Below are 27,439 nucleotides of genomic sequence, written 5' to 3' on the forward strand. Positions count from 1 at the left end.
CTGCTGAGTTTAAAAGAAGTAAACATCACCTCACATGACATATGTGAAACCCAGATCACTTTTTAAAGATAGTCTCCTTGGTATCTAATAAACTGGCTAAAGTTGGTGACAGTCCATCCTTCATTAAGTTATTCATTCAATAAATGGCATGTGCTTGAAATACACCAAACTTTGCGGGTACTTTGTGTCTCCTAGAACTTCATATCTAATGAGGGAATTCTGTTTTAAACAATCACACTAATGAATACATAATTGCAGTTACAGCAAGTGTTTTGAAGCAAAATACAAAATGCTCTGAGAAAGTATAAGAAGGCCTCTTATAGGGGAATAACTTGTAGGGGATTATGGAAGGCCTCACTAACCGGGGATGTTTAACCTAAAACTTGAAGAATGAGTGGGAATCAGCCAGGTGAAGCAGACACACCTTAGGAGAAGGCTTTAGAGAGAAGAAACAGAATGCAGAGGGCCAGGGGCAGGAGAACTTGGTGGTCATGGAGGAAGGGAGAAAAGGCCGGTATGTCTGGAACTGAGTGAATGAAGAGGGTGGAATGGTGTGGATTGAGGCTGGAGCTGCATCAGGCCTCATTACAGGTTAGAACTTTCTCCTTAGCTCGTGGAAATGCCCGTTCTTCATTCCTCTCAAAAGGGTTACACACAGCACCCTCCAGAGGCAGCACTGAACACCAGCCCATGGCTCCAGCAGAAAAACTTGTCCAGCCTCTGTTGTATTTCCTGAATCACTTGTTATAGGTGACCTCACAGCATTGAGTTCTCAGCCTTAAAATAAAAAATTCCTCTTGATATTTGATCTCAAGTTCTCTACCCACGGTTTCCTACCCCGCAGACACAGTGTGGCCACCAAAGCTGCTTGGTTGGTTCTTTTCTGCATTATTTCTCTCTCTCTCTGTCTCTGTCTTTCTCCTTTTTTTTTTTTTTTTTTTTTTTTTTGGGAGACAGTCTCACTCTGTCGCCAGGCCAGAATGCAGTGGCATGATCTCGGCTCACTGCAACCTCCACCTCCTGGGTTCAAACAATTCTTGTGCCTCAGCCTCCCGAGTAGTAGCTTTTTGTATTTTTGTATTTGTTTTTTTTTTTTTTGTATTTTTAATAGAGTATTTTTAGGGGTTTTGCTATGTTGGCCAGCTGGTCTGGAACTCCTGGTCTCTAGTGATCCTCCCACCTTGGCCTCCCCAAGTCCCTCACCCTGGGATTATAGGCATGAGCCACAGCACCCGGCCTCTGCATTCCTTTTCTTTTCCATGTCGCGGTCGCCTGTTGCGGCACATTCTTCAGTGTCTTCCACTTGCGCCCCATGGCCTTTCTGGCTTCAGATGCAGAACCTCTCCCGTTATAAACTGAAACTCAAGGCCTCATTTTATATGGGTCGAGAAAAATCTCAAATACTTAAGCTTATTGCATTTCCTTTTCTGTTCGCTCCTGCTAATTTTGAGTGTCATTTTATTCTTGGTTTGCCTGATATTTTAAGGTTCTGTTCATACAGTCTTTTCCCCCAGGAGTTACATAATGACTTCAGTCACTTTAAAGAAGTTTTTAATCTGTCTGACAAAATTATTTTTTCCTTTGTGAAATGTCATCTCTGTTTCTTCTTTTTCCTGCTAGTTTTTTTCAGGATGGACTCAAAGCCGTGGAAAGCCTCAAACCTTCCATTGAAACGCTGTCTACGGATCTTCACACGGTGAGTAGCTTCCCTCCCACTGTGGTTTAAAACCATCTTAATGCAACAGACATTTTCATCTAAATGTCACTTCTGTGTAATCCTGTGTTTTCATGCCGTGCCGCCCACGTGGAGTGTGGCGTTCCCACGCCTGTCCTCTGTCTTGGTGGGAGGGAAGGTTTGACCAGCGAGGGAGGCAGTTGTCGCATTGTGTGGAAATGGCCCCATGAGCACCAACGTTTCACTGTACCTCAGTCTTAATTTTCTGATTGGTTCTGTTGTGTGTGTGTGTTTTTAAAGATCAAACAGGCCCAGGATGAAGAAAGAAGGCAGTTGATACAGCTTCGAGATATTTTGAAATCCGCATTGCAGGTTGAACAGAAAGAGGTGAGGGGATTTAATTTTGAAAGATTGCAGTTTTCACCCCATTCTTGGAGGCTTTGGGTCTGAAGAACATGAAGTTCATGTCTTCTAGGAGCTCACAGTTCACTCGGGCTGTGTCAGGCACCAGTAAAACATTTAATGTATTCTTGCAATTTAGTTCTATAAAACCATCTTTTAAAATATGTTTATTTCAGGAGGAAGCATTTACTACATGCATGGCCTTAATGGCGGTGTATAAACCCTGTGCTCTGTCAGTTGCTAGATAAGGAGCTCTCAGTGGCTTCGTCACAGAGACCATGTGTCATTTGTGCTATTTATCCTGTACCTGGCCCTGTGTCATTTCCCTACCCTGACATACGTGGACTCTGCCCCTTTAGGCCTAGGCACGTAGCAGGGGACCAGCTGGGGCTCTGCCAGCCCTGAGATTGTGTTCTATAAAATATGAGGCATGAGCTTTTCTTACAGCTGCCTCCATCATGACAGGCAGAAATCCTTAGTTCTCTTACTTCCCCTCTTTCTGTAATGACGTCTCTGTGTGCTAACACGTCAGCAGGGACAGTTTGTGTTGTGGGGACTTGTTTTTAAAAAGCCATTAAAAAGTAAGTTTTAAAGATAATTTTACTATATTTTCACTACAATGTGGGTATCATAATGTGAATTTAGTATAAATCCATTTCCTTGTTAATAAAAGGAATGTATCTAAACATATATCTAGTGATTTTAGAGAAATTGCTAAACTACTTGACAGCATAAAGTTCCCTGTTGGCAGTTTGGTGAGCTCTATTTTATTGTAAGTTCTTGTACTATAACTGAATATTGTTGTTTTTCTCCCAAATGCGTTTACCTTTTGTGACCGAAGTCTAGGAGAGTAAGTAGTTCAGTATTTTAATAAATTGCAGAATTTTGCATGTTTTATTCGTGAACATACATATATATATTCCTTTTATATATTAATGGTTAGTAGCATTTTTTATTTTAACCCCTCACCTTTCATTGTTGTAGACTTTATTAAAGGCTGAAGAGTTTGCATAAATATTAGGGAAGTGGACATTTTCTGGGTTTACAGTTTACACTTTTGCTGCTGTTCCTTTATGAAGATGAAGCAGGTCCCTCCCTCCCTCCCTTTCTCTCCCCTGAGTGGCTGAATTCTACACATCTCTCTAGTCCCTCTGAAGCCCCACCTCTGGAGCGCTGCCTCTGATCACCCCAGCCCACAGTGATCTGAGTTCACAGAGCACATCCTGTTTGAATGCCCCATTTGAATCACAGCCTATTCCTCTTTTTGAGTGTTGGTTGTGCCTTAAGTGCACAGATGGCTTTTCACCAGCTGGACCTCGAGCAGCCTGAGGATGCCACCCTGCCTTCTGAGCCATTCTTCCATCACACTGTAGTGCCACAGCGCTCATTTAGTAGGATTTTGGTAAACATGGGTCAACTAAGTGAGACACTGGCAGAGCAAGGTTATATTTAGTGCTAGAAAGGACCTACAACATGGTGACTTCCTCCTAGTCTAGAGAATGTAGGCCCTGACGCTTTGATATTCCCAATAAGCAAAAAAAGGAAAAAAAACTTGGCGTAAGGAGAAAATAGTGGGCTAGCGGTAACGAGGAGGAGGTAGTGCGAGGGCAGGAGCCAGAATGCCGTCCAAGGTGGCTGCTCCCCAGCGCACCGTTGGAAATGATCGAGAACTGCCTTTGTCTAAGAAGGAAGATCCAACCCATGAAGCAAAGCTCAGGTTTAAAATAAGGCAGAGCAGCTGCTGGGGCCAAATGGCCCTCTGGGCACAGTGCAAAGGCTGTGTTTGCTTTGCCTGTGCAGAATTAGGAGGTTTGGGAAAACGGGCTGTTGTGAGAGAACTGGTTATTTACAGCTTCGCAGGAAAGTAATAACAAATTTACCAGCACAGACCAGAAGTTCTTTATAGTTTGTTGTTTTTTGTTAACCAGCCCATCTGCCCCTGATTGCACAGAGGGATCAAATGAACCTCCTTTACTATTCTTCTTTGGCTGTCTGCCCAGTTGGCTCCTTGTCAAGACCTAACTCAACAGTCTCCTAGTTGTGGGCGTGTTGTGTTTTCTGTGTATCATGCTCTGCGTTGCTTTTAGGTGATGGCATTCAGCAAGTTGGACAATCTTTGAACACAGTTGCAAGTAATAAGCAGATGTGAAAATGCTAAATTTTCTGTTTTAAAATGATTTTTATGATGGGGGTTCCATCTTGTATACCTCAAATTTGCAATAAGAATTGATCATTTGGTCATTATTGTTTAGGCCGTCATTCCCTTTGGTTGGATTTTCTTCTGTGACTTAGACAACTGAAGGTGTTAAGAGGATTTTTATTCAGTGTTATAAAAATTCTAACCCTCCCTGTGTAATAACAGTTGATAGAAATTAAGTAACATGCCCCAAAGAAACTGCCTTGATGGTTGGTAGAAGCCAGTGCTCCTCATTCTCTTCCTGTAAATCCCAAGCATCAGTTATTGAAGGAATGAAGAGTGGCCATTCCAGTGTGGTAGCTTCGTGCTGCTGTTTCCTTGTGACCCTGCAGCTTTGTTTTAGTGTGGAGCTTGTGCCGTTCTGGTCCCGGTGACCTCACACCTCCCAATCACTGGCCATTCATGTTTTGTTCTTGATATTTTCTGCTCTCTGTAAGGAGAATACTACTCTTTGGTATTTCCATTATTTTTCTTTGTGAAGGTTTTCATACTTGGAGAAAAGTTGAAAAATTGTGCAGTGACCACCCATAGTGCAATATTATACAATGAGGATCGAACTATGTACCATAGTGTTTGATTTTTGGAGAAGATCCTATTTACACAGTTAAACTCGTTGGCACTGCTCATCTTTGGTTGAGCTCTCTCCCCGTCAGCCTCGCCTCCTGCCTTCCCCATCCCACGTCGTCCATCCGATGGTGTTCTGCCAGGATGGACCCTGTTGGGGTGCTGGCGGAGTCCCAAAGCCTCATCACTTGTGTGCAGGCTCTCTCTGCTGTTTGATGTGGAGAACCCAGACTTGTGTGCTTCTATGGGGAGGATCAGGCTCTGGGGCATGGTCTCACAGGTCTGAGTGCTGAAACCACCATGGTTTTCCACTCTGCAGATCTCAAGTATGGTTGCTCTCTCTCTCTCTCTCTGTCTGTCTGTGTCTGTCTATCTCTCTCTGTCTGTCTCTATCTCTCTCTCTCTCTCTTTCTCTTGCTCCCTCTTTTTCAAGCATCCTGTCTAGTAGGATGTGATAGAACAGTTTGTGCCACCCAGGCAGCCAAGGTCCACCACAGCCATAATTTTCTTCTGCCTCTGGGTTCGCGTATCTTACATGCCCAAATCTGGCCTTCATCACAGAGATCTCTGCCAGGGGCCACCTGCCTGCCTCTCCTGCCAAGCTGCTAGGTAGCCTGGCTCTGGCCTCCATGTCACCCTCAGTGGAGGACTCGTTTGTTGATTCACACATCCAGCTACCCTTTCTTCCACTGTTACCCTAAGCCAGCACTCCACAAACACAACAGAACAAGATGGATCAGGTTATCATCTCTTCAGGGGATCATGCTCTGGGGGTGGGGACAGAGAAGCAATTGGGGTGCAGTGTAATGAGAGCACTCGTGGACATCAGCTCCAGGAAGCAGTGTCTGCCCAGTGCGGGCTGGGCAGGTGCCATCAGGGATGACTTCCCAAAGGCTGTGATACCTGGGATGGAGCTTAGAAGGATGATTAGGAGTTGGCAGGCCAGGCATGGTGGCTCACAGCTATAGTCCCAGCACTTTGGGAGGCCAAGGCAGGTGGATTGCTTGAGTCCAGGAGTTCAAGACCATCCTGGCCAACATAGTGAGATTCCATCTCTACCAAAAGTCAAAAAAATTGGCCAGTTGTAGTGACATGCACGTGTAGTCCCAGCTACCCGGGAGGCTGAGGTGAGAGGATCCCTTGAGCCTGGGAGGTGGAGGTTGCAGTGAGCCAAAATCGCACTGCTGCACTCCAGCCTGGGCAGCAGAGCATGACCTCATCTCCAAAACAAAAACAAAAAACTGGGGACGGGGCAGGAGTTAGCAGAGTCCCAGCAGGTGAGGCTGGTGGAGAGGACAGCTTCTGACTAGGACGGGGTTGCCTGGGGAGCTGTCTAGCAGAGCAGAAGAGCATGGATCTTGGCATTTGAATCCTGGGTCTCCCACTTCCTACCCTGCCCTGTGACACTGGGCAGGTTCCTGGACCTCTCCATGTCATGGTCTCCCCGTCTGTCAAATAGGAATAATACAGCCAACCTCAGAGTTTTCAGGAGATCTAAGAGATAATTTCTGTAGAGCACTTACCATATTATCTTAATAATAGTAAAATTATTTATTAATAATCTTAATAAATATTAATAAACTATCTTAATAGTTCATTCAACAAATACTGAGCTCCTAGGTGGTAAAGATACCGTAGTGACCAAATTCCCTTCCCTCATGGTGTCGCGCTCTTAGAGGTTCAACAGGAATGGATACTGCTGCTGTCGTTGTGTGTGACATATCCCTTAGCCTCCTTGTTGGTCCGTCCTCTGGCCCTATGTCTTCATGGCTCTTGCCCCTCTTCCTTCTTCACTATCTGACTCAAGATGCTGTCATACCCAGCTCTAGGCTTCTCCTCTTACTCCTGACCCAGGCCTTCCAGCCTCACCTGCCTCTCACCCACCTCTCTGTGTCCAGCCTGCGTCACATTCCACATTCACTCTAGGGGAGGAGGGACCTGTTCCTATCCATTGCAGGGCATTTCCTGTTTACCTCACTTTTCAGGTTTTCCAGGCACTTTACAAGTGTGGCCAACGATCCTTACAAGCCACTTTACAGGGTAGGCAATGTTTGCCCATGTCTGCAGCTTTTTGTTTGTTTGTTTGAGACAGAATCTCCCTCTGTCGTCTAGGCTGGAGTGCAGTGGTGCAATCTTGGCTCACTGTAACCTCTGCCTCCTGGGTTCAAGTGATTCTTCTGTCTCAGCCTCCCAATTAGCTGGGATTACAGGTACGCGCCACCACGCCTGGCTAATTTTTGTAGTTTTAGTAGAGACGGGGTTTCACCATGTTGGCCAGGCTGGTCTCGAGCTCCTGACCTCGTGATCTGCCCGCCTCCGCCTCCCAAAGTGCTGGGATTACAGGCATGAGCCACCGCGCCCGGCCAGCCATGTCTGCAACTTTATTCTGTGAGAGAGAGAGGATAAGTGCCCTTGCTGGGCTCACACAGTGGCATCAGAGCCAGGATTTGACCCTGATCTATTCCATGTCAAACTGGTTCTCCGGAGTCTTTTAAAAATTACCCTTAAATAATGGAGAATAGGTGGTAACGATATTTGAAAGCATTGTTCTTAGACCATGGCTCAGTGCTTGGCTCAGCAAGGCTTCCAGCTCCCAGTTGTGCCCATGTGGGTGGACATACCTGTCATATCTTCAGAAGATGGGGGAATGAATTGGACATCACAGCCCTCCTGGGCAGAGAAATTTTAAGCTTCCAAAAATGACTCCTCGACAAGCTTGTCAATCACAGGAATTGTCTGGACACTGACTTTCTAAGAAGTGGGCAAAATGTCAGTTTTTAAGCTATCCTAGAGTCTTTAGAGTCTTAGACAGCTCAAGGATTCTACTGGTCATCTGGGCAGATTCTGTGTTGGCCAGACCCAATGGCTAATACTTCATAGGGCCACAGAAAAGTTAAGATCAAGGATGATGCCTGAGCTCTGAGAACTTGTCTGGGTGTCACAGGACAGAGGATGTTGGACACTGATAGAATTTCATGAAAGCCTTTTGAGGTTCCACCAAGTGCCCACCTACCCTGCATACTCAGGCACACAAACAGTCCCTGCACGTTGAGGCTTTGTCAGTCGAGTTTAGGTTGTCTTCGTCTCTCTTAGGAAAGTGGAGAGTACATTGGAGTCTCCAGGAATTGGGGCAACATGGACCGCCCTGGCCTCTCTTACTTTTTATGTTATTCTTCTCTCCAGAAGGAGAGGTTCTTTTTCCTTGCATAGTATTCTAAAAGTCAGAACCTTGGTCATGTGAAAGGGCCGGTTTTCTCTGTCAGGCCTTCACCTGGTCAGGCGTTTTGTACAGGCTAACAAAGGCTATTGTTACGGGGTCGCCTGGGAGTCACCTAGAGGATACTGAAGTAATTCGCACTAAAACAGTTTCAATTTTATGTTAAACAGATTATATTCCTCTTTTTTACAAATGTGAAGTTTAATAGGCCAGCTTAATTCAGATTTGCCTGCATGCTTCAATTGGCCTAAAGAAAAGAATAAAACAGGGTGATTTCATTGTCACCTTCTGGCATAGGGTCTGATTCTGTTGAGAAGAATGTCCCTTATCCTGTTCGTGAGACCTGAAAATCGCTCTGATTAATATGCGCGGCACGAACAGTGTTAGCGGTGTTGTCACATGATTTCACCACTTACTTTGTGCAGGGCTTTTTTTCTCCCCCAAATCAATAGACGTATTTCTTGGTTGTGCAGTTGAGTCTCCTGACAGGTTTATTTTTAGTCTTTCACAGAGACGCTGTACAGGTGAGCAGTATTTCTCCACATTCCTTCCACAGCATTGTTCTCAGCAACGTTGAAAGCTGGATTTGCTCTAAATTTTGGTGCCGATGTTCCGCCCTTCTGAGAAAATGTGGAAGCTGGGACCATCCTCATCCCATGAATGCGTGTGTGCCCTAGTTTATCCAGAGGCTCAAGTGCTGTGTGAACTTTCTGTGGAAATGAGTTCATTTCTCCCCTCCTGGGCTCTGCTTGTTTCAGGGTTGGTTGTCAGTTCAGTAATGGAGAGTGCCTCCGCATGTTACTGATTGCTCACGTGGAGTTTTTTGGTTTTTCTTTTTTGGCAGAGTTTAAAAAGTCAGTGCTAGACACTCATGTGCATGGGTTGGAAGACTTATTGTGAAGATAACAGTACTCCCCTAATTGATCTACACATTCAGTGCAGTCCCCATCAGAAATCCCAGCTGCCTTTGTGCAGAAATTGACAAGCTGATCCTGAAGTTCATGTGGAAACGCAAAGGACCCAGAATCGTCAAAACAATCCTGAAAAAGAAGAACAAAGTTGGAGGATTCACATTTCCTGATTTCTGAACTTACCACAAAGCTGTAATAATCAAGACAGTGTGGTACTGGCATAAGGAGAGACATATAGACCAATGAAATAGAGCTGAGAGTCCAGAAATAAATCCTTACATTTAGAGATGATTTATTTTTAACAAGGGTGCCAAGGCAATGGAGAAGGAGTAGTCTTTTCAACAAATTGTGCTGGGGCAGCTGGATAGCCACAAGCAAAGAAGGAACTTGGTCCCTTACCTCACACCATAATCACAATTAATTCAAAATGAGTCAAAGAGCTAAATGAGAGCTGAGACTATAAACCTCTTGGAAGAGATTTATAAGTATAAATCTTCATGACCTTGGATTAGGCAATAGTTTCTTAGATAGCACCCTTACAGTACAAGTGACAAATGAAACAGTAGGTAAATGGGACTTCATTAAAATTAAAAAGTTTTGTGCTTCAGAATCTTTTTTCAAACTCAGAAATCCAAGAGGCTGCCTGTGCCTTGGGATGCAGTCGAAACTCTGACTCCAGCCCGTCTTGTCCACCCCTGGGCCTTACTGCCTCAGATGCAGTATTTGTCTAGCTTCCCTGGGTGCTGACCACGTGACCGTGACCTCCCTGTGTCTTCTGTGTACTATCCACTTTGCCTTGAAGATCCTACCCTGATTCTGTGCCAGTTCTTGCCTTCATGTTTAAAACTCGCTTTTTCCTGTGCTTTTCTCCCTTTGACTCTTCAGTTCCTGAGTGCTCTTGTTCTCAGCTTCCATCACACTGATTTTCCTGCGTTAGTTCTTTCATCGTTTGGGGATGTGCTTCGTTCTCCAAGGATGGTGAGCTGCTCAGTGGCAATGATGAGAGTGGCCCTAGACTCTGAGGATGTTCTGTGGGGAAAGAAGATGGTGTAATGGAAGGAGCCTCAGAGTGGAAGGCAGGATTCCATTCCACTCTCTGCTCTTGCTTTAAGGAGCTCTGCACCTGGAGCAAACCACTTATTTTCATTGTGTCCCTGTTTCTCCCATTATGGAATGAACTGGATAGGCGTTCTCATTAAACACCTACGAGCAGCCCTCGGCCCTTTCCTGGTTGACCTGTGAACACTTGGTTCACATCTTGCTCCCCTCTCGTTTCCTTTAAGTCTCAGGGAAATAGAATTTCCTGCACTGGCACTGGTGGCCTCCTACTCTCAACTCAGAGTGTCTGCTACTGTTTGTTTTGTTTGGTTTTTGTTTTTTTGAGACAAGGTCTCGCTCTGTCACTGAGGTTGGAGTGCAGTGGTGCTATCATGACTCACTGCAACCTCGATCTCCCAGGCTCAAGCAGTCCTCCTGCTTCAGCCTCCCGCATACCTGGGACTACCAGCGCCTGCCACCATACCTAGCTAATTTTTGTATTTTTTGTAGAAACGAGGTCTTGCTATGTTGCCTAAGCTGGTCTTGAACTCCTGGGCTCAAGCCATCCGCCCACCTTGGTCTCCCCAGATGTTGGGATTACAGGCATAAGCCACTGCGCCCAGCCTGATATCATTTGTTAAACACCAGTTGAGCCACCTGTTGGATGCCAGACACTGGACTTGGGCCCTGGGTGTTCATTGCTAGTCCTCGCTTACCCTAAGAAGCTGATAGGCTGGAATTTCCCAACTGTGGTAGATTCAATCAGATTCTCAGCTGACCATGTGGATGGTTTACCTATGATTAAGCTCCCTTGGTCAGGGTCAGACCCCCCTTACTCAAGATTGGTGGAGGGAGGAAGTGAAGATTTTTGCAATACTTGTTGATGTTCACATGTGTGATCCTATTGAGTCCTTACTGTTTATTGGCCTTACTGGGTATTCTTTTCTTATTGCCCAAGAAGGGAACTGAGGCTGAGAGCTTATGTGATGGTTCTGTAGTAAGGGACAGAAAGCTGGTTTTGTCGTTTTGCTTGGAAACCCCTGCCTTTCCACTCACTGCATCACCTCCCTCCTCGAGGGCTACTGTGGCCGTAGTGGGAGCCTCATGTCACTGTCAGGGGGTTAAGGCTCGTAATGAAATAAAACCTGGAAACTTCCAGGGCTCATTCCTTCAGCCAGTTTGGGAATATTGGTTTCCTGACATTTCCTTCTCCAGCCTGATAGATGGCATTTATCAGTTCCTAGAGCAGAATCTGATGTCCCTTTTTTGCTGTGTTGAGAAAGGGAAATTTCTCCAATTTTTGTTGTTGTTAAAAAAAAAACACATTAGGCATAAGTTTCCTTTGTGTACTGCTTTTCTAAAAATTAGGACCTGGACAAGATTAAAAACACACTCTTCACCATTTTTTAGGACTCCCAAATTCGTCAGAGCACAGCTTATAGCTTACATCAGCCTCAGGGAAACAAGGAACATGGGACCGAGCGGAACGGCAGCCTCTACAAGAAGAGTGACGGGTACGTGAGGGGGTGTGGCTAGAGTTTAAATGTACGTTCGTTATCTTGTGTCCAAAATGTCTAAACTCTTATTGTTTCTCCCACTTATCCACAAGGATCCGAAAAGTGTGGCAGAAAAGGAAATGTTCAGTTAAAAATGGTTTTCTGACCATATCCCATGGTACCGTAAGTATTCTCTTTTAATCCATGGTGTCTGCTGTATTAGGTGAGGTTGGTGTTGGAGGACTTTCTGAAGTTAGAGGGCAGGAGTTGTTCTCCGTGTGTGATGGTATTAAGGATGTGTCTTAGAGAATTTCCCTGTCAGAAACGCTTGCTGGCCTCCGTCTTGATTTGGTGCACCTGCAGCCTGTTTATGTTTTTTTTTTTTTAATTTTAATTTTAATTTTTATTTTTTATTTTAGCCAGATGGAGTCTTGTCCTTGTTATCTTCCACTCCCTAGCAGAGTCAGGAGTAACTGATAAGCCAGGTTGTCTTTATTTAGAAGCCTGTGACTCCAGAAAGCACAGAACAGCAAACTGCTCCCCCAGCTCTCTTTGTCTCTGGAAATCAAACATCTCACTTAGGAAGATTTCTACTTTTCCATTAAGAGAAAAAAATGGGCAGGACTCTGGGGACCAGAAATCCATGAGAAAAGACATCTCAGTGATTTTATTATTGAAATCTTAACATATGGTGCCCAACTTTAAGGCCTCTTTCCATCATCCTGTTTATCAGAGTCTATGCAAGAAAAAACGGAGCCCTCTATGTTGAGCTTATGAAAAGCCGGTCAGGATAAAGTTCCTTACCAATCTAGCTTTCAGAGGCCAGGAACTTGGATCACAGACACAGCCCTGCACACCACACTGTTCTTTCCATGGCAGCGTTATACATACTATTGCCTCACCTGGCATGACTAGAGCTGGTGATAACCACATGGGCTGGTAGACAGCTTTGGTAACATCTCAAGGCCGAGGTCGTTGCCTTTTTGTTGCTAGAGAGATGCTGAGGGTTGTTTGCATTCCCATTCCCCAAGCAGAGGCCTAGTAGTGCATGCAAGCCAGCAGCCTTGGGCGTGTGAGTGGATGATAGTAACCGTCTTTCCTGCCCCTTGTCCCTCCAGTCCCTGGTGAAGGCAGAGCTGGGCAGGAGCTCAGAGGGGCTTTTCTGGCCCCTATAGAAATGTCATCACTCAACATGGGGTCCAGAGAAACGGCCCTGAGGTTCATAAGGGAATAGAGTAAAACCCCAGCCGAAGCATGTCACAGCAGCAAGGATTGTGTTCCTCTGGGGGTGCCTTTGTTTTTGCCAACTTCGATTTAGAAAGGGAGAGAGGAGCTAGAATAGTATATACCCAGTGGAGGGATTCTCGGTGACCTCTGGTCTAGGGGTTTGAATGTGTCTCTGAACTTGGAAATGAAGGTCATTTTCTATTTTCAAAACCCAGCTTTCACTGGTCATGTGATCACCACCGTACTCCCCCTGCCCCCGCGACCCCAGGGCCATGCAGTATGGATCTTAATGGGACATTATGGGCAGGTGCAGTGGCTCAAGCCTGTAATCCTAGCGCTTAGGGAGGCCGAGGCGGGCAGATCAGCTGAGGTCAGGTTCGAGGCCAGCCTGGCCAACATGGCAAAAATCCTGTCTTTACTAAAAATGCAAAAATTAGCCAGGCATGGTGGTGCATGCCTGTATCCCAGCAACTTGGGAGGAGAGAATTGCTTGAGGCAGGAGAATTGCTTAAACGCAGGAGGCAGAGTTTGTGGTGAGCCGATATCACGCCACTGCACTCCAGCCTGGGAGACAGAGCAAGACTCCATCTCAAAAAAAAAAAAAAAAGCCATTCTTTCCATGCGTGGATGTGAGGGTATGAGTTCTGTAGACCAAGGGAAGCAAATTTATCCAGCTATCACTGTCTTTAATATTAGGAATGTTAGATTAGATGAGACTAGGCACCCTTCTAAATACCTTCCAGATCTCAACACCTGTGGTTCTGTGGTTTGCTTTCGAATTGGTGTCCACTCGCTGTTTGTTTGAACTCCGATTGACTGCCTCAGTGCAGAAACTGTCATACAACTAAGTTCTAGTTCATGCTTTTACAGCTCTGAAGTCAAGGGGCATATTTGCTTCATTGAGAGTTCCCCTAGATCCAGGCCTCAGCTTAAGCCAGTGAGTGGCTCTTTCCATGGCAGCTGGAAAACAGGTCTGGTAATCCTTTGCTGACAGCATAAACTTCACTTCGAGTCACTTCCATAGCTTGAGCTTCCTCTCAAAAGATGTGGAGGCTTAGTTGTCTTTAAATTTGGATGGGTTGCCCCAGTTTTTGGCAGATAGTACGGTTATAACCGGCATTACTGGGATGCTGAGAACTCAGCTTGTCACACAGCGTGTGCATATTTAATAGGTGCTTTGTGTTTGGAGGGGAAAACCCTCTCCAGGGAATCTCCACTTCCAGAGGTCTCCTCCTGCCTTTAGCAGCCATCGCCGCCTACATCCTGCAGGGGTGGTAGGTGGGGCTGTCTTGATTCACTTCCTCGCTGCCATGCAGAAAAATAAAGTAGTTTTCCAGCCCTCCGTTCAGTGGCTGAGTGTTCCTTTTCTCACCTTTTCCCTATTTCCCTGCGTGCTCTGGAAGTCAGAATCCAGAGGACCCCTCTGTATGACTGCGTCTACAGAGAGGTTGCATGTGGGGAAGTGAGTTCACCCATACCAAGAAAGAGAATTGAGAGATGCCCTTTTGGTTTGGTTTGGTTTTGACTTGATTTCTTGTGCAGCTCACCTGTTTGGCCAGCAGCTCCTGAGTGTGCTCGTTTACAGTCAGGAAAAAAGGGCACATTTCCAAAGACTTGATTAAGTGGAAGTCTAAGAGCAGAGCCTGGCACATAGCTGCGAAGCAGGTCTTTAAGAAATGGAAGCACACAGGGTGTATTTACACTGGTAGGAAAACCCTTCCCAGGAAGCTGGCAGCCTCTGGGAAATGAAGTTGTTGTATTCTGATTGGAGCAGAGGATTGAGGATAACATCCGGGAGATTCGTTCAAAGCCCGAGTTGAATTTCCTTCTTAGCCAAGTCTGTTTTCTGGCCCTAGGAAGAAGTGATCCTTGAGACAAAATAACTCTAATTAGATATCCTCTTTGCCAGATTCGCAGGATTGCCACACCACTGAGGGCTGGGGACTGTGTTACACTGGAAGGAATGTCCACTGGCTCTTACACAATCTAAAATTTTAAAAAATGATCAGTCATGAAGAAAGAAGAAAACACCTTCCTTCTAAAAGCCTGACAAATCGGGAAAAAATAGAACGGCACGATTAGAATGGAGAATCACTGATAATCTCTGCCTGCATGGCAAACTCTAAAGCTGTTGCATCTTTTTTTTACCATTCCTTCCCAAGTTTTCTACTAAACTAGGGCTTCTCAAATTAAATTCTCAAGAAAATACTGGTATTTTGTGAATTAGATGAAACCGTTCTGTATCTCAATTAACTGATGACACTTTTTTGTCTGTTTGTTTGTTTGTTTGTTTGTTTTTTTCTTTTTGAGACGGAGTCTCGCTGTGTTGCCCAGGCTGGATGGCTCACTGTGACCTCTGCCTCCTGGGTTCAAGCAGTTCTCCTGCCTCAGCCTCCCAAGTAGCTGGGACTGCAGGTGCATGCCACCATGCCCAGCTAATTTTTGTATTTTTAGTAGAGACTAAAAATCTCTACTAAATCAGCCAGGTCAGGCTGATCTGGAACTCCTGATCTCAGGTGATCTACCTGCCTCAGCCTCCCAAAGTGCTGGGATTACAGGCGTGAGCTACTGCGCCCAGGTGACACTGTATTTTTCCAAATTGCAACAGGGAAGGATTTTAATGGATAGAATTTTCTCCCATAAATTTTTCTAATAGCTTTACTGTTTGCTAATACTTAATCTATGTACTTAATATTTAACCTGAATAGCAAACAGTTATTAATGTAAAACAGAACTGCTGGTGATATTGCTTAAGATCAACTTGTGTGTTTTGTGGACCCATTCTTATGGTTGTCATTTTTTAATATGTAGGCACATTTATGTCTTCATAAATTATTCCTACTTCAAACAAAGGTGCTGAATATTTTTCTCTATTTTGTGGTATGCTGCGAAGTGAGAAATCTATCTTTGATAGTAGTTAAGAACGAACACCTTTCCCCGTATCACAGGGAAAAAGGAAGACTGCAAGGTGGAGGTGGGGAGGGAGAATGAGTTGTAGTAATTTAAGTTGTGGTTCTTTGCTGCTCTTAAAGATAAGTCCAGGCAAGCAACCGCCTTCCATGGATACCCACGTCGAGGACAGGGAGGGTGGCAGTTGAGCCCCGAGCCCTGGAGCCAGCCTGACTTGTTGGAATCCTAGCTTCCCCGCTCCCTAGCTGTATAACCTCAACCAGATTATTTGGTCTGTCCGGGCCAGTGTCTTTAGCTACAAAATTGGTGTAGTTCCTACCTCAAAGGGCAGTTAGGAAAATTAAATGAATTATTTCATGAAAAATGTTTAGAACAGTGCCTGCCTTGTATAGGTATATAATAAAAATAGCTGAGTAAATGTAGCTATTGTTATTCAAAGTCATTATTTTGTCCATGAAGGTGCTTCTGTATTTATCAAAGCACACAAACCTTAGATATAGGAGTTATTCCTATATCTAAGACCCCACAATTTGGAAGTAGCCCTAAAATTTGCACGTGTACAGTTGTGTCATCACAGGGAGGTAACAGAATAGACACAGGCTACGTATGGGTGGGTGTACACCCGTGTTAAAGTACTTGGTTGCATACATGTTTTGTAACCATGTTTCTAGAAATAGATCATTTGCTGTATTGGTTCCTGGATAAGTTAGGTAATCCGATTGGTAACAATCCACGATCAGTGGTGCTTTCACTTGAAAGTGTCCAGATTTACAAGATTAGGCAGAGCTTGGTATCTTCTAATACTGATTTCTGACGATCCAGGAATTCTCTGAGATATCTACAGATTATGGAGAATATCTGACTAACCTGTAGAGGAAAAGACCAACACAGCCACGAACCAGGAGAGTCTAGTACAACCCTGTTTATCTGACTTTATCTGACTTTCACTAGTCCAAACTTACATTTATTAACCCAAATCCTTCACGCTGCAAGGATGGGTTCAACTCTCCCACCCTAACTCTGTAGACTTACTGGAAGGAAGCTGCTGGGCCTGTAAGTGCTTGAGGGTTTCACAGGTCTGTCCAGGTGTAGATGCATATGTGTATGTATCTGGATTAATCCCAAATTCAGGTTTTTTTCATCTTGAAGTGACCGGTGGCCAAGGGAAGTGGGGCCCAAGAACGATGGAAGTTTAAGACATTCTTATTTGATCTTTCCTTTAGCAGCTTGGTAGGTGGGTAAGATAAGCCCACTCCCATTTGGATATTCCTCCAAGATTTCTAAGAGGTATTCTGCTGTTCGAAATTTTTGTTTCTGAAATTATCTTCTTACCCTCAGTCCTTTGCTTTCTTGGACTAAGTATGATCTTTTTTTTGAAACTGTAATAAAATAGCCATTTTTCATACACCTCTGATGAAAGTATGTTGTGATCGCTTGGTGTCGTGTGTGGGGGAGAGGGTTTGGGGGTTACAGATGTGAATGAAGTATGTTTTGTTGAAACTTAAGTGACAGTGATGGTTGGCATTTAGGAATGTGAGTCTGTTATCTGTCACCACTTCAAACAGTAGGAAAATAATTTCTCTGCCATTTTTGTACTGTGAAATTACCTTCACTGGAAGTGAGGTTTATGCTAAGAAAAAACGCTTTTAAGATCACCAGAAATTGAGCTGGGTGCCCAAGTTACCTGGCAAATCAACTGTGTTGTCGGTAGGAATCAGAACTGAATGTTTTGGGCTTAGCCATGCAATATCTTGATCTGAAGGCACCCACTGCCAGCAGCCTCAAAGCTGGCATCGCTTGTCCTCTTGTCCAGGTGGGTTTGTGTAGACCACCAAGGTGCCCTTGCAGGGAGGCAGTTGCCCTCTGTGGAGATGAAGTTCAAAGGCCTCTGTAACTTGTCCCAGTCAAGCCTTCCTCTGTCAAGTCTGAAGGCCACCTTTGCAAACTAGTGAAGAGCTTGCTGTTGCTGTATCTCGTGAGGATTGATACTGTATGATTTTCCATTCCTTCCACCCAACCCCAACCTTTTTTGTTGTTTTTTGCTTTTAAACAGGCTAACCGGCCTCCTGCAAAGCTCAACCTGCTAACCTGCCAGGTGAAGACCAACCCTGAGGAGAAGAAGTGCTTTGACCTCATTTCACGTAAGGCTCCCTCTGAGATGCCGCGCCATAGAGACGTTGTCTTATGCTCTCCTCTGGGGCGTCCTTCACATTTCAAACACTGCATTCGGAAGAATTGGTTTTTGAAGAGACATACCCTTTTTCTAGTGATATGCGTGCTTTGTGTTCCATTAGTAACTGCTGGCTTGCCAGCCTTTCTAGTTGAGAGTTTGACTTTGAGGGCTGGCCCTGCTCCTTGGGGGCACTGTAGTCCTGAGACATTACCTGGCTCTCTGAGCCTCAGCATTCCTGTTCCTAAATAGGGAGATCCTACAAGAGAAGCCCACAAGCCTAAAACTCCTTCACTTGAAAAAGAGAGAAGGAGGACAATTCTGTTTTCAAGAACTTACATAATTTGGGTGATGTTAGAAATGCTAAAATGAGGGTCTTCAACAGGTCCCTTGAAACTTCAGTGTTTGAAATTGTTTTTCTTCCTCACCACAGGAATAGTCTTTCTGCTTCTCTGTGCTTTTCCTTTTTGTGGCGTTCACAAAAGAATCCCCACAGAACCATCCATTGTGGTGAATGTTTACTCAGCACCCCCTAAATTAAAGGGCCCATGATGTCTAAAAGAAAATAAGATAAACCTTTTTTCCTAGGTAGTTCTGTGTGGCAGGGTTAGAGTCTAGGGGAAGAAAGGGCCAGTCTCCCCTTTGAAGAGGCAGTCACTAGGGATTTGGGTGCAAGAGTTACATTTGCAGAGGACCACGCCGGACTGTGTACTGTAGGAAGGCGGTGCTGTTCTCTGTGCCTCAGTACCCCTGAGTGGGAGATGGCTACCTTTTCAAATGTCAGTTGACCTGTATTATTGAGGGCTAGGAAGTCACTTGTTATGTGATTCAGCGCTCCCAGCAAACTGCGGGTAATTATCACTCCACCTCACCCACAATGGCTTGCTCTTATCCTCCCTGTTCCCCTTCTCATACCCTCTGTGTGAATCTCTGGGGAGGGTTGAGCACTGTGATATGTGCAGAGGGTTCCAGTACCATTTATTCTGTTCTTCAGACTCTAGACTGATTTGTAAAATAAAATGGACTTTATCCTGTGTCAAACACCCATCCTGACTCAGTCTAGTAAGGTCCACAGATTCTCATCAAAGCTTGCCTTTCATTCATACAAGATGTTATAAAATGCTGAGTACTGGCCAGAGTTTAAAATGTGATTGCAAGCCAGGTGTGGTGGTGTGATCCTGTAGTCCCAGCTACTCGGGAGGCTGAGGTAGGAGGATCACCCAAGCTCAGGAGTAGACGTCCAGCCTTGGTAACATAGCAAGACCCTAACTCTTTAAAACACACACAAACACACACACACACACACACACACACACACACACAAACACACACACCACTGCTGGGATACCTGTGTCTAGCTAGCAAAAAAGGCTTGAATTGAAGAGTTTCAGAAAACCTGATGGTGTAATCTGATGTCTGCCAGTGGCTGGGGCTAACTCAGGGTTTTAGGCCTTTCTGTTTTCTGAACTAGTAACACACAAGAAGCCATGCGTTAAAATGCCCATCCTTAACTCATAAGCAATAATAGTGAACCTATCACCTGGAGGTGGGTGTAGGGACTTCTTCCCTCAACTGCCCTAGGCCCCTCCAGCATGCTCCACAGGGAGACCCTGCTAGATGCCATATGTGCAGAAGCACTTGCTCCAATGTATTCCCAGCCTCCACCTTTTTACAACACAGCAGGCAGCAGGGAGGATCAGTAGACGGCAAGTGTGCATGCCTCCCTTCTGGGTGTGAGTTACTGCAGCCCTTACACGTGTGGGAATGCAGTCCTCTGTGAATCTGGCCACACACAAGCTCTGTGGCCAACTGATATTTACCAAGATCCTGCCAGTGTCTTTGCTGCAGCCTGATGCATTGAAACATCTTCAGGAAGGACTTGTAGCCTGTGATGCCCAGACAGGTTTGCTGAGCCCAGTTGGGGGCAGTGTCGTGAGTTTGCTAGAGTCCATTGTCATCTTTGAAAAGAGCTCTCATCCCTCCTCCTTCCCTGCTTGTCTTCCAGTGGGTAAAATGAATTCCAGTCCTGCAAATTCTTCATCCTCAGTGAGTTTTCAAAAGGTGCCTTCCTATGAGTATCTGTAGTGAAAATGGTTTGTGCAGGGGTATGTGGGTTTGGGTTGAAAACTGGCCAGATACCCCAGAGAGTCATCACAGGAAACCTGGCTGCAGTATAAGCCGTGATTTGATGAACATCCTGAGAAGGTGAGGGACATGGGGTCAAGACCTGATTCTGGCTGATTGAGGAGCATCTGTCTTCACCCCTCTCAGATTCCTCCTCTACTTCCTCACCAGCCTCATGGGATGAGTATCACCAAGATGCTTTTGAACTCTCAAGATGCTTTTGAACTGCCTGGGTGGGCCAGGCAGTGGCTCATGCCTGTAATGCAAGCACTTTGGGAGGCCAAGGTGGGAGGATTGCTTGAGGTCAGGAGTTCGAGACCAGACTGGGCAACATAGCAAGACCTACAAAAAATTTAAAAATAGTGCAGTATGGTGACATGTGCCTTTGGTCCCAGCTACTCAGGGAGCTGAGATGGGAGGATCGCTTGAGTTCAGGAGGTTGAGGTTGCAGTGAGTTGTGTTCGTGCCATTGCACTCCAGCTTGGACAACACAGCAAGACTGTCTAAAAAAAAAAAAAGACATTTGGGCAGTTGGGGAAGTCAAGTGGAGGCACATGCATTGAGGCAGTGAGGGTGATATTTTCTGTGTGCATCTGCCAGGCACTCCATGGTCACCCATTCCTCCTCTTCCTCATCTGGTCAGTTCATCTTGGAATCTGCCCAGAGAACTCAGAAGAGCAATAGACTGGCTGGCTGGTTGCAGTTACTTCCTACAAGATGTTCCTTTACCATCCTTGCTCCTAAACAGGGGCTTCCCATTCTCATGAAGGTGGAATTGGGGCCAGGGGCAGTGGCTCACACCTATAGTCCAAGCTACTTGGGAGGCTGAGGTGGGGGGATCACTTGAGTCCAGGAGTTTGAGGCTGCAGTGAGCTGTGATTGTGCCACTGCACTGTAGCCTGGGTAATAGAGGGAGACCTTGTCTCTTTAAAAAAAGAAAAAGATGTAAATGAGCATGGGCTTTTCTAGGAGGATGGTTCTGTGGCAAGGCCGGCCCTTCTGGGAGCTCATCTAATCCATTGCCTGCAGACCGACCCCACTCATAGCAAATTCAAGTCCTGAGCCATTATCCGCGAACCCCATAGGCACCCTGGGAGGGATGGAAGGAACAGTAGAATTGTGAGGTGACCCAAGTGAGTCCCCTGAGTAGGATGGAGCCAGAGGGAGTCAATGACCTTCCAGGTCCACATGGCAGGTTAGCGGCCAGTAGAGCCAGAGCCCTGGCCACAAGCTGCCCTTCACTGGCCACCAGCACCTGAGTGCTCCGATCGCCCCCTCTGTCTCCTCCTGCTCTTCTCCCTCACGGCTGAAGCTCTGGAAGCCGTCCGCTTATTTGTAGCATCTTTAAAGAGAGTGTAGTGGAGGGGATTCTTGCTTGAAGTTTTTCCTCAGAGGTTTGCCTCCTGCTTGTGCAGTTTTTACACGTCAGAATGCAGAAATTGGCCAGGTGCGGTGGCCCACGCCTGTCATCTCAGTACTTTGGGAGGCTGAGGTGGGAAGATCGCTTGAGCCTGGGAGATTGAGGCTGCAGCGAGCTGTGCACTGCACGTTTGCACCACTCCACTCCAACCTGGGCAGCAGAGTGAGACTCCGTCTCAAAAAAAAAAAAAAAAGAAAAAGAAAAAGATGCCATGGTGTTGTAGAAAGTGGTCGGGCCAGAAGTCCAGGAACCAAGTTCTGCTGCTGGCTATGCTTGTTTTTTGCAGCTTAGCCTCTCTAGGCTTCAGCCCTCACCCAGTCACTTACCAAGAGTTGTTCTAAGAACCAACGTGCTTTCAGGAGTAAACACCACTACAGAGAGGTGGCGTGTCCACTCACTTTTAGGAGCACAGATGTTCGTTGTGTTTCCCTAAGAAGAGAATTGGTACTTGTCATCATTCTGCCATCTGCAAAAGCTGGATTCCCCTGCCCCTGCTTTTCTTTATTAAATATAATTTTATTTTTTGCTTTGGTTTTAGACTGCTTTTAGACAGAGAATATCCATATATCCCTCCCCTAGCTTTCCCTTCTGTTAACATCTTAATACAGTTATCCAGTAGTCCGTGGTACATGTTATCCAATCATATTTATGTAGTTATCAAAACCAGGAAACATTGGTTTGATGCTATTAACTAAAAATCTTACTCAGATTTTACCAGTTTTCCCCCAAATGTCCTTTTTTCTGTTCCAGAATTCTATCCAGAACCCCATGTTACATTTAGTTGTGATTTTATCCTGGTCTCTTGCAGTCTGTATCGGTTCTGTAGTCTCACTTGTTTTTCATGATGCCTTCTTAAAGAGTATTGACCTGTTTTTTGGTCAGACTCCCCTTAATTTGGATTTCTCTAGTGTTTTCTCATGAGTGGATTGAGGTTATATGTTTTTGGCAAGAGCAGCACAGAATGATGCTGCCACATCCCACACAGCCGCCTCCCTGCTGCACACACACACAGGTCCACAGCCTGGCAAAACACTTGTAAAACTGTGCTGACACCAGCAGTATGTAAGTGTAGGATTTTATATTCGACCATTATTTAACACACTCCTCTTGATTTAGCTACATTTCTAGTATTTGATTCTCAAAGCATATTATTCTTAGAATTTCTCATACTAATCTTTTTCTGAGAAAGCCAGAAAACTTCTAAGATATTCTTTTTAAAAAAGGTTTTTATTATTCAAAGGGCTTGAACAATTACTTTTTGGGGGCCAACTCTGTAGTGAGTTAAAATGAAGCTATTGAGAGGATAGTGATGGTTTTCATTGAATAGCTTCAGTTTTTAGAAGCGGCGTCTTTTAAAACTTGAATGAGGGAAAGGGCAGGTTTATTTTGCATTAGAATGCCACCGTTGGTGAAGGCAGACATTTGGAGGATATGAGGGAGTGCCTGATTTTATACAAATCAGTAATTTCGTAACAGAGAGCTAAGATTATTCCAGAGGCTAATTAGAAACTATTTTCTTTTGGAATTGTGTATGGATTGCTGTCTGGGCTCACAGTTGAAATTCCTCTTGCTATGCAGATGACAGAACTTACCACTTTCAAGCTGAAGATGAACAGGAATGTCAAATGTAAGTTACATGGTGGTGGGACTTTGGGCTGGACTCAGCCGTTGTTTGTGGAATTTAACACAGCGTTGCTCTTGTTTTTCTAGATGGATGTCTGTGCTGCAAAATAGCAAAGAAGAAGCTTTAAACAATGCATTTAAGGGGGATGACAATACTGGAGAAAATAACATCGTCCAAGAACTGACAAAGGAGATCATCTCAGAAGTGCAGAGGATGACGGGCAATGACGTCTGCTGTGACTGTGGGGCGCCAGGTGACCCAGGGACCCCACCCGACCCTGGGCTCTAGGACATTTCAATCCCATTCTGATTCACAGAATCCGTTCATTGATTTTCACTTTCATTTCAAACACGAAATTAAGTGCAGCTCAGCCTGAGTTCATCCCATTACACAAATGCTTAATGAACTGTGCAGACCGCGGCAGGGGAGAGGGGCGGGAAGATGTTTGCCTGCCGGGCCCCAGAGCAGGACTGAGTAAAGAGGGTTTGACAGAGCTGCAAAGTTTGAAATGCTTTTTGAGAAATGAAAACTGAAGGGTACAGTGAGAGTGAACTCAAGGTCATGTGGGCTGAGAGGCTGCATGTGGATGGGCTTCCTTGCTTGGAATCTGCTCTCTTCTCCCTTTATCCTACTTTGCAGAACTTCTGAAGTAGCTTTAAGCCGCTGTCTGGCTCTGTGACCCTGGGAGAGCCACTTGCTTTGTTAAACATCGATTTTCCTGTCTGTAAAGTGAAGGGACAGGACCCTTTCAGCTGACACATTCTGTGAAATAAGATTTTATTTTTACATTTTGATAAAGCATATTAGGGGCTTTATAGTAGGATGTGATTTAAGGAATTTGCTTATTCTAATTGAGACACAATGGTGGGGAGTGGGGGTCGGGGACTACACAGGTGCATTTTCTGAACATTTATAAAATGAAAAAGATGGAGGCTTGGCTAGAATGGTTAATCCCCTTTTCATTCCTCTAATTCTATGACAATTTTTCTTAAAAAACCAAACACAACCAAAATAAGAGTGGACAGTTGAGAATTACCTTTAGGTTCCCATGACCCTGAAGACTGTATTTGGCCTTGGATCCATTAAAAAAAAAAAAAGAATACCGACTGGGTGCAGTGACTCATGCCTGTAATCCCGGCACTTTGGAAGACTGAGGCGGGCGGATCACTTGAGGTCAGGAGTTCAAGACCAGCCTGGCCAACATGGTGAAAACTCGTCTCTATTAAAAATACCATAATTAGCCCGGCGTGGTAGTGCGCACATGTAGTCCCAGCTACATAGGAGGCTGAGGCAGGAGAATCACTCGAATCCAGGTGGCAGAGGTTGCAGTGAGCTGAGATCACGCCACTGCACTCCAGCCTGGGCAACAGAACGAGACTGTATTTAAAACAAACAAACAAAAAACCCGAAAATACGTTTTTGGCAGGAGATGAGGTAGGGGGTGATAAGTAGTGAATCATGGTCTTTCTTGAGAAAGGGTAAAGACAGTCTATGATTTGGGTGTTTCATACGCTTTGATAAAGAACTCAAAGGTATGTACTCATTATTTTAAAATGCCAAGACAGTGTGGGTAATATAAAAATGATGTAGAGTCACCTAAATGGATGCTTGTACCTCCGCAAAGCACAAATACAGTGGAGTCGTCCTACACAAGTGCAGACACAGACGCCAAGAAGGTTTTCCAACATGGATAACATTTTTAATAACTTGAACATTTAAAAAATAACTTCATGATTTCCTACTGACTAAAGTTGCGATATTTACCTGCCGTGAGTTTCTCAGGGCAACAAACAGTTCTGAAGAGAATTGTATTTATGGGTTGTGATGATGTACTCAAGGACATCTTATTTTTAATTTCCCATTTTTAGCAAATTCCACATTCATCTGTCAAGCATTTTGTGGGTCCCTATCATCTGCTAAATGTATGGTAGGTCATGTTAGTGAGTAGCCGAGCTGTGAGGGGAAAACGTGGCTTTGAACTCAGGTAGAGGCAGGGCCACAGTCTGCTCTGCACTCCCTGGCGACCTCGAGCCTGAGCATCGCAAAGCTGTCTCTGCCATATAGTGAGATAAAAATCCCTGCCCTGGTCATCTCATGGAACTCTTAGATTTGATACAAAAGTGCTCTGTGATTGCTGAAGCTCTTAACAACACAAACTGTTATTGCTACTACCAGCATGCTGAACACAGCATATCTTATGTACATAGTACGTTCTCTGTTATTATCAGCATCTGTAGATGCATATGTTTTAAGCCTATTCCCCTTTTACAAGTAGACTTTGGCTGGTCTCATTGTTTTCCTCTTGCTCCATTCTGCTAGTGTGACCAAGTTGGTGATGGGCATGGTGTGTTTTCACCACCAGCCATTGAGGAGCCCTTGGTCACTGGAGTGTGTCCTGTTTATTTTTGCACACACAGCACCTGTCACATGAATGGAAGGATGGGGAGATGGAGAGAGAGGGAAGAAGAGGGAGAGTAGATGTGTGCATATTTGGGTATTGCATGTAAATTGGTGGTAATTATGGACAAAGTTTCCAGCTGTGTTAAGGATCAGAAAATGCTCATGCTCAGAACTGCTTGTTCAGTAACTATGCAGGAAGAAAGATGTGACTCCTGACCCTCTTTTTTACTGGAAGCTCAAATCTGCCCTGTTCTCTTTGGCAGATCCTACATGGCTTTCCACCAACCTGGGCATCCTGACCTGCATCGAGTGTTCCGGAATCCACCGAGAGCTGGGGGTTCATTATTCCAGGATGCAGTCCCTGACCTTAGATGTACTGGGAACATCTGAGCTGCTGGTAATTTTTAAATCCTTGATTTCAGATTGGAAACAAATGAGCTGTAAGCTAAATTTTACTTTTGGCATTCTAATCCATTTTGGTAAGCTAGTGGTTGTTGATATGTTGCCAGATTGGTTTGGATAATTAGAAACTCATTGATAATTCTTCATTTTTAGCTACTTGTGGTTGAGGGCACTTCTTGTTGCAAAACTTTATTCTTAAATGAATAAAGGGGAGTGAAACCAAAACAGGAGCATTGAGAGTGGTGTGAGATTCTACAGAAATGGAGTAAGATGGTGACATAGACCAGCTCACCCCATCCATTAGACAGATGTGGAATGCAACGTCTAAAGACAGGAAAGTACTTGTTTTCCCTTATCACCAGCGATTTCTGACAAGGCTGTGGTGACAACTTGCCTCAAGCCTCCGACTTCTCCCTACCCCAGATTGTCCCCCATGGGGGGAGATATTGGTCTTCATTTTTACTGCCTTTGTTTCTTAAGTCTTTCATTCTTGGTTCAGTGGTAACACTTAAGCCATGTGATAGAGATAGGAGGAGACAGAAGCATTTTCTGTGAAGTGGCTTTCAAGAGTATCGAGACTGTAGTCCCACAAGGTCCATCAGACAGGGTGCTTCTGGCCACCTAATACATGAGCTTTCATGACTGTCTTCCCTAGAAAGCAGTTCTTGAATTCTCTCCTGGGATAGCTGGATGTTGACAGTAAACAGTAAGTAGATAGTGATTGGCATTGATTTTAATGTTGAATTTAAAAGTTTACATGTAGGGAATTTAACGTCAAGAGCAATAGTCTTGACAGAAAATCAATAGTTGTGGACCATGTTCCTCTCAAGGGGCCATCAGTCTTATTGATGACTTCGAATCCAGTGTGTCTGAACTTCGAATGCATTTTGAACTCTCTTGTCAAACCTTTCCAGTCTTTCTAGGAATTCCTTTATGGTCTTGAAAGACAGAGTTGGGAGAAACTACAGTGGATCCTGGCAGCCTAGTTAGTAACATCCTTAGTTACTTACAGTTTAAAACTAAGCTAGACTCACTTAAAATGTAAAACTAAGGAACTCCAAACAGTGCCTTCCTGGTTACATACAGCAATTATTGTTCATGTAATAATGCACGTAACCTACAGCTTAGAGAGGTGCACAGGTGTACATGTGGTATCTCTTGGATAACTGATGATGGCATAGATTGGAGGTTGTCATGGTACATTTTCAAAGAAGCACAAAGTACTTTTCAGTAAACACTGGTGAACTATGGCAGTTGTTTCTTTTACTGATTTTCTTAAAACAATGGAAAGTGTTAAGTGATTCAAGATGATGTAATAATTGTTTATTTTGTACTATGTATTTTGCAGGCCACTTTATATATACTAGGCTCATTTGATCTCCAGTAACAACCTGATGACCTTGGTATATTATCCCCATTTTACAGAGGAGGAAACTGAGGCTTAGAATGTTTCAGTATGCCTAGGGTTATGAAGCTTTTAAGGTGACAGATCTGGGGTGTGGGCCTCTTTAATCTGATACCAGACCTCACACTTAAACCTTTGACGAGCCTGGGACACAAATTGGCATTTTAGTGGGTTGTCTTGCTAGATGATAAACATTTAAACATCTCTACTGTCCTTCCCTATCACCGTCCCCAACAAATGTTTAACAGTCAACTCTG

General features: G+C 44.7%; 1 protein-coding gene across 22 annotated transcripts in view, besides 1 other annotated feature; it reads left to right on the forward strand.

Annotated features, from left to right (window-relative positions):
• The window catches only part of ASAP2 (ArfGAP with SH3 domain, ankyrin repeat and PH domain 2), a 198,867-nt gene that overhangs the window by 126,306 nt on the left and 45,122 nt on the right, over nucleotides 1–27,439 (forward strand). For 11 of the 22 annotated variants that reach the window (XM_011510403.4, XM_011510407.3, XM_011510405.4 and 8 more), the window contains 9 exons: nucleotides 1,621–1,696; nucleotides 1,976–2,062; nucleotides 2,919–2,927; nucleotides 11,415–11,518; nucleotides 11,614–11,683; nucleotides 17,691–17,778; nucleotides 22,930–22,978; nucleotides 23,062–23,228; nucleotides 25,639–25,772. In XM_011510403.4, coding sequence (XP_011508705.1) covers nucleotides 1,621–1,696; nucleotides 1,976–2,062; nucleotides 2,919–2,927; nucleotides 11,415–11,518; nucleotides 11,614–11,683; nucleotides 17,691–17,778; nucleotides 22,930–22,978; nucleotides 23,062–23,228; nucleotides 25,639–25,772 — 784 coding nt within the window. The remainder of the gene's footprint in view (nucleotides 1–1,620; nucleotides 1,697–1,975; nucleotides 2,063–2,918; nucleotides 2,928–11,414; nucleotides 11,519–11,613; nucleotides 11,684–17,690; nucleotides 17,779–22,929; nucleotides 22,979–23,061; nucleotides 23,229–25,638; nucleotides 25,773–27,439) is intronic. The other 11 variants (XM_011510404.3, XM_047446201.1, XM_047446199.1 and 8 more) reach the window with 1 other exon arrangement.
• Nucleotides 22,737–23,936: an enhancer, noted in NCBI's record as "BRD4-independent group 4 enhancer chr2:9495983-9497182 (GRCh37/hg19 assembly coordinates)". NCBI's record gives its function as "activates an origin of replication core promoter dependent on BRD2, P300/CBP, MED14 and CDK7 cofactors, and independent of BRD4, by STARR-seq in HCT116 cells {active_cell/tissue: HCT116}" and the evidence as "EXISTENCE:reporter gene assay evidence [ECO:0000049][PMID:35650434]".

The sequence above is a fragment of the Homo sapiens genome, chromosome 2 (assembly GCF_000001405.40).
Source record: "Homo sapiens chromosome 2, GRCh38.p14 Primary Assembly".
In the NCBI taxonomy this organism is placed as follows: Eukaryota; Metazoa; Chordata; class Mammalia; order Primates; family Hominidae; genus Homo; species Homo sapiens.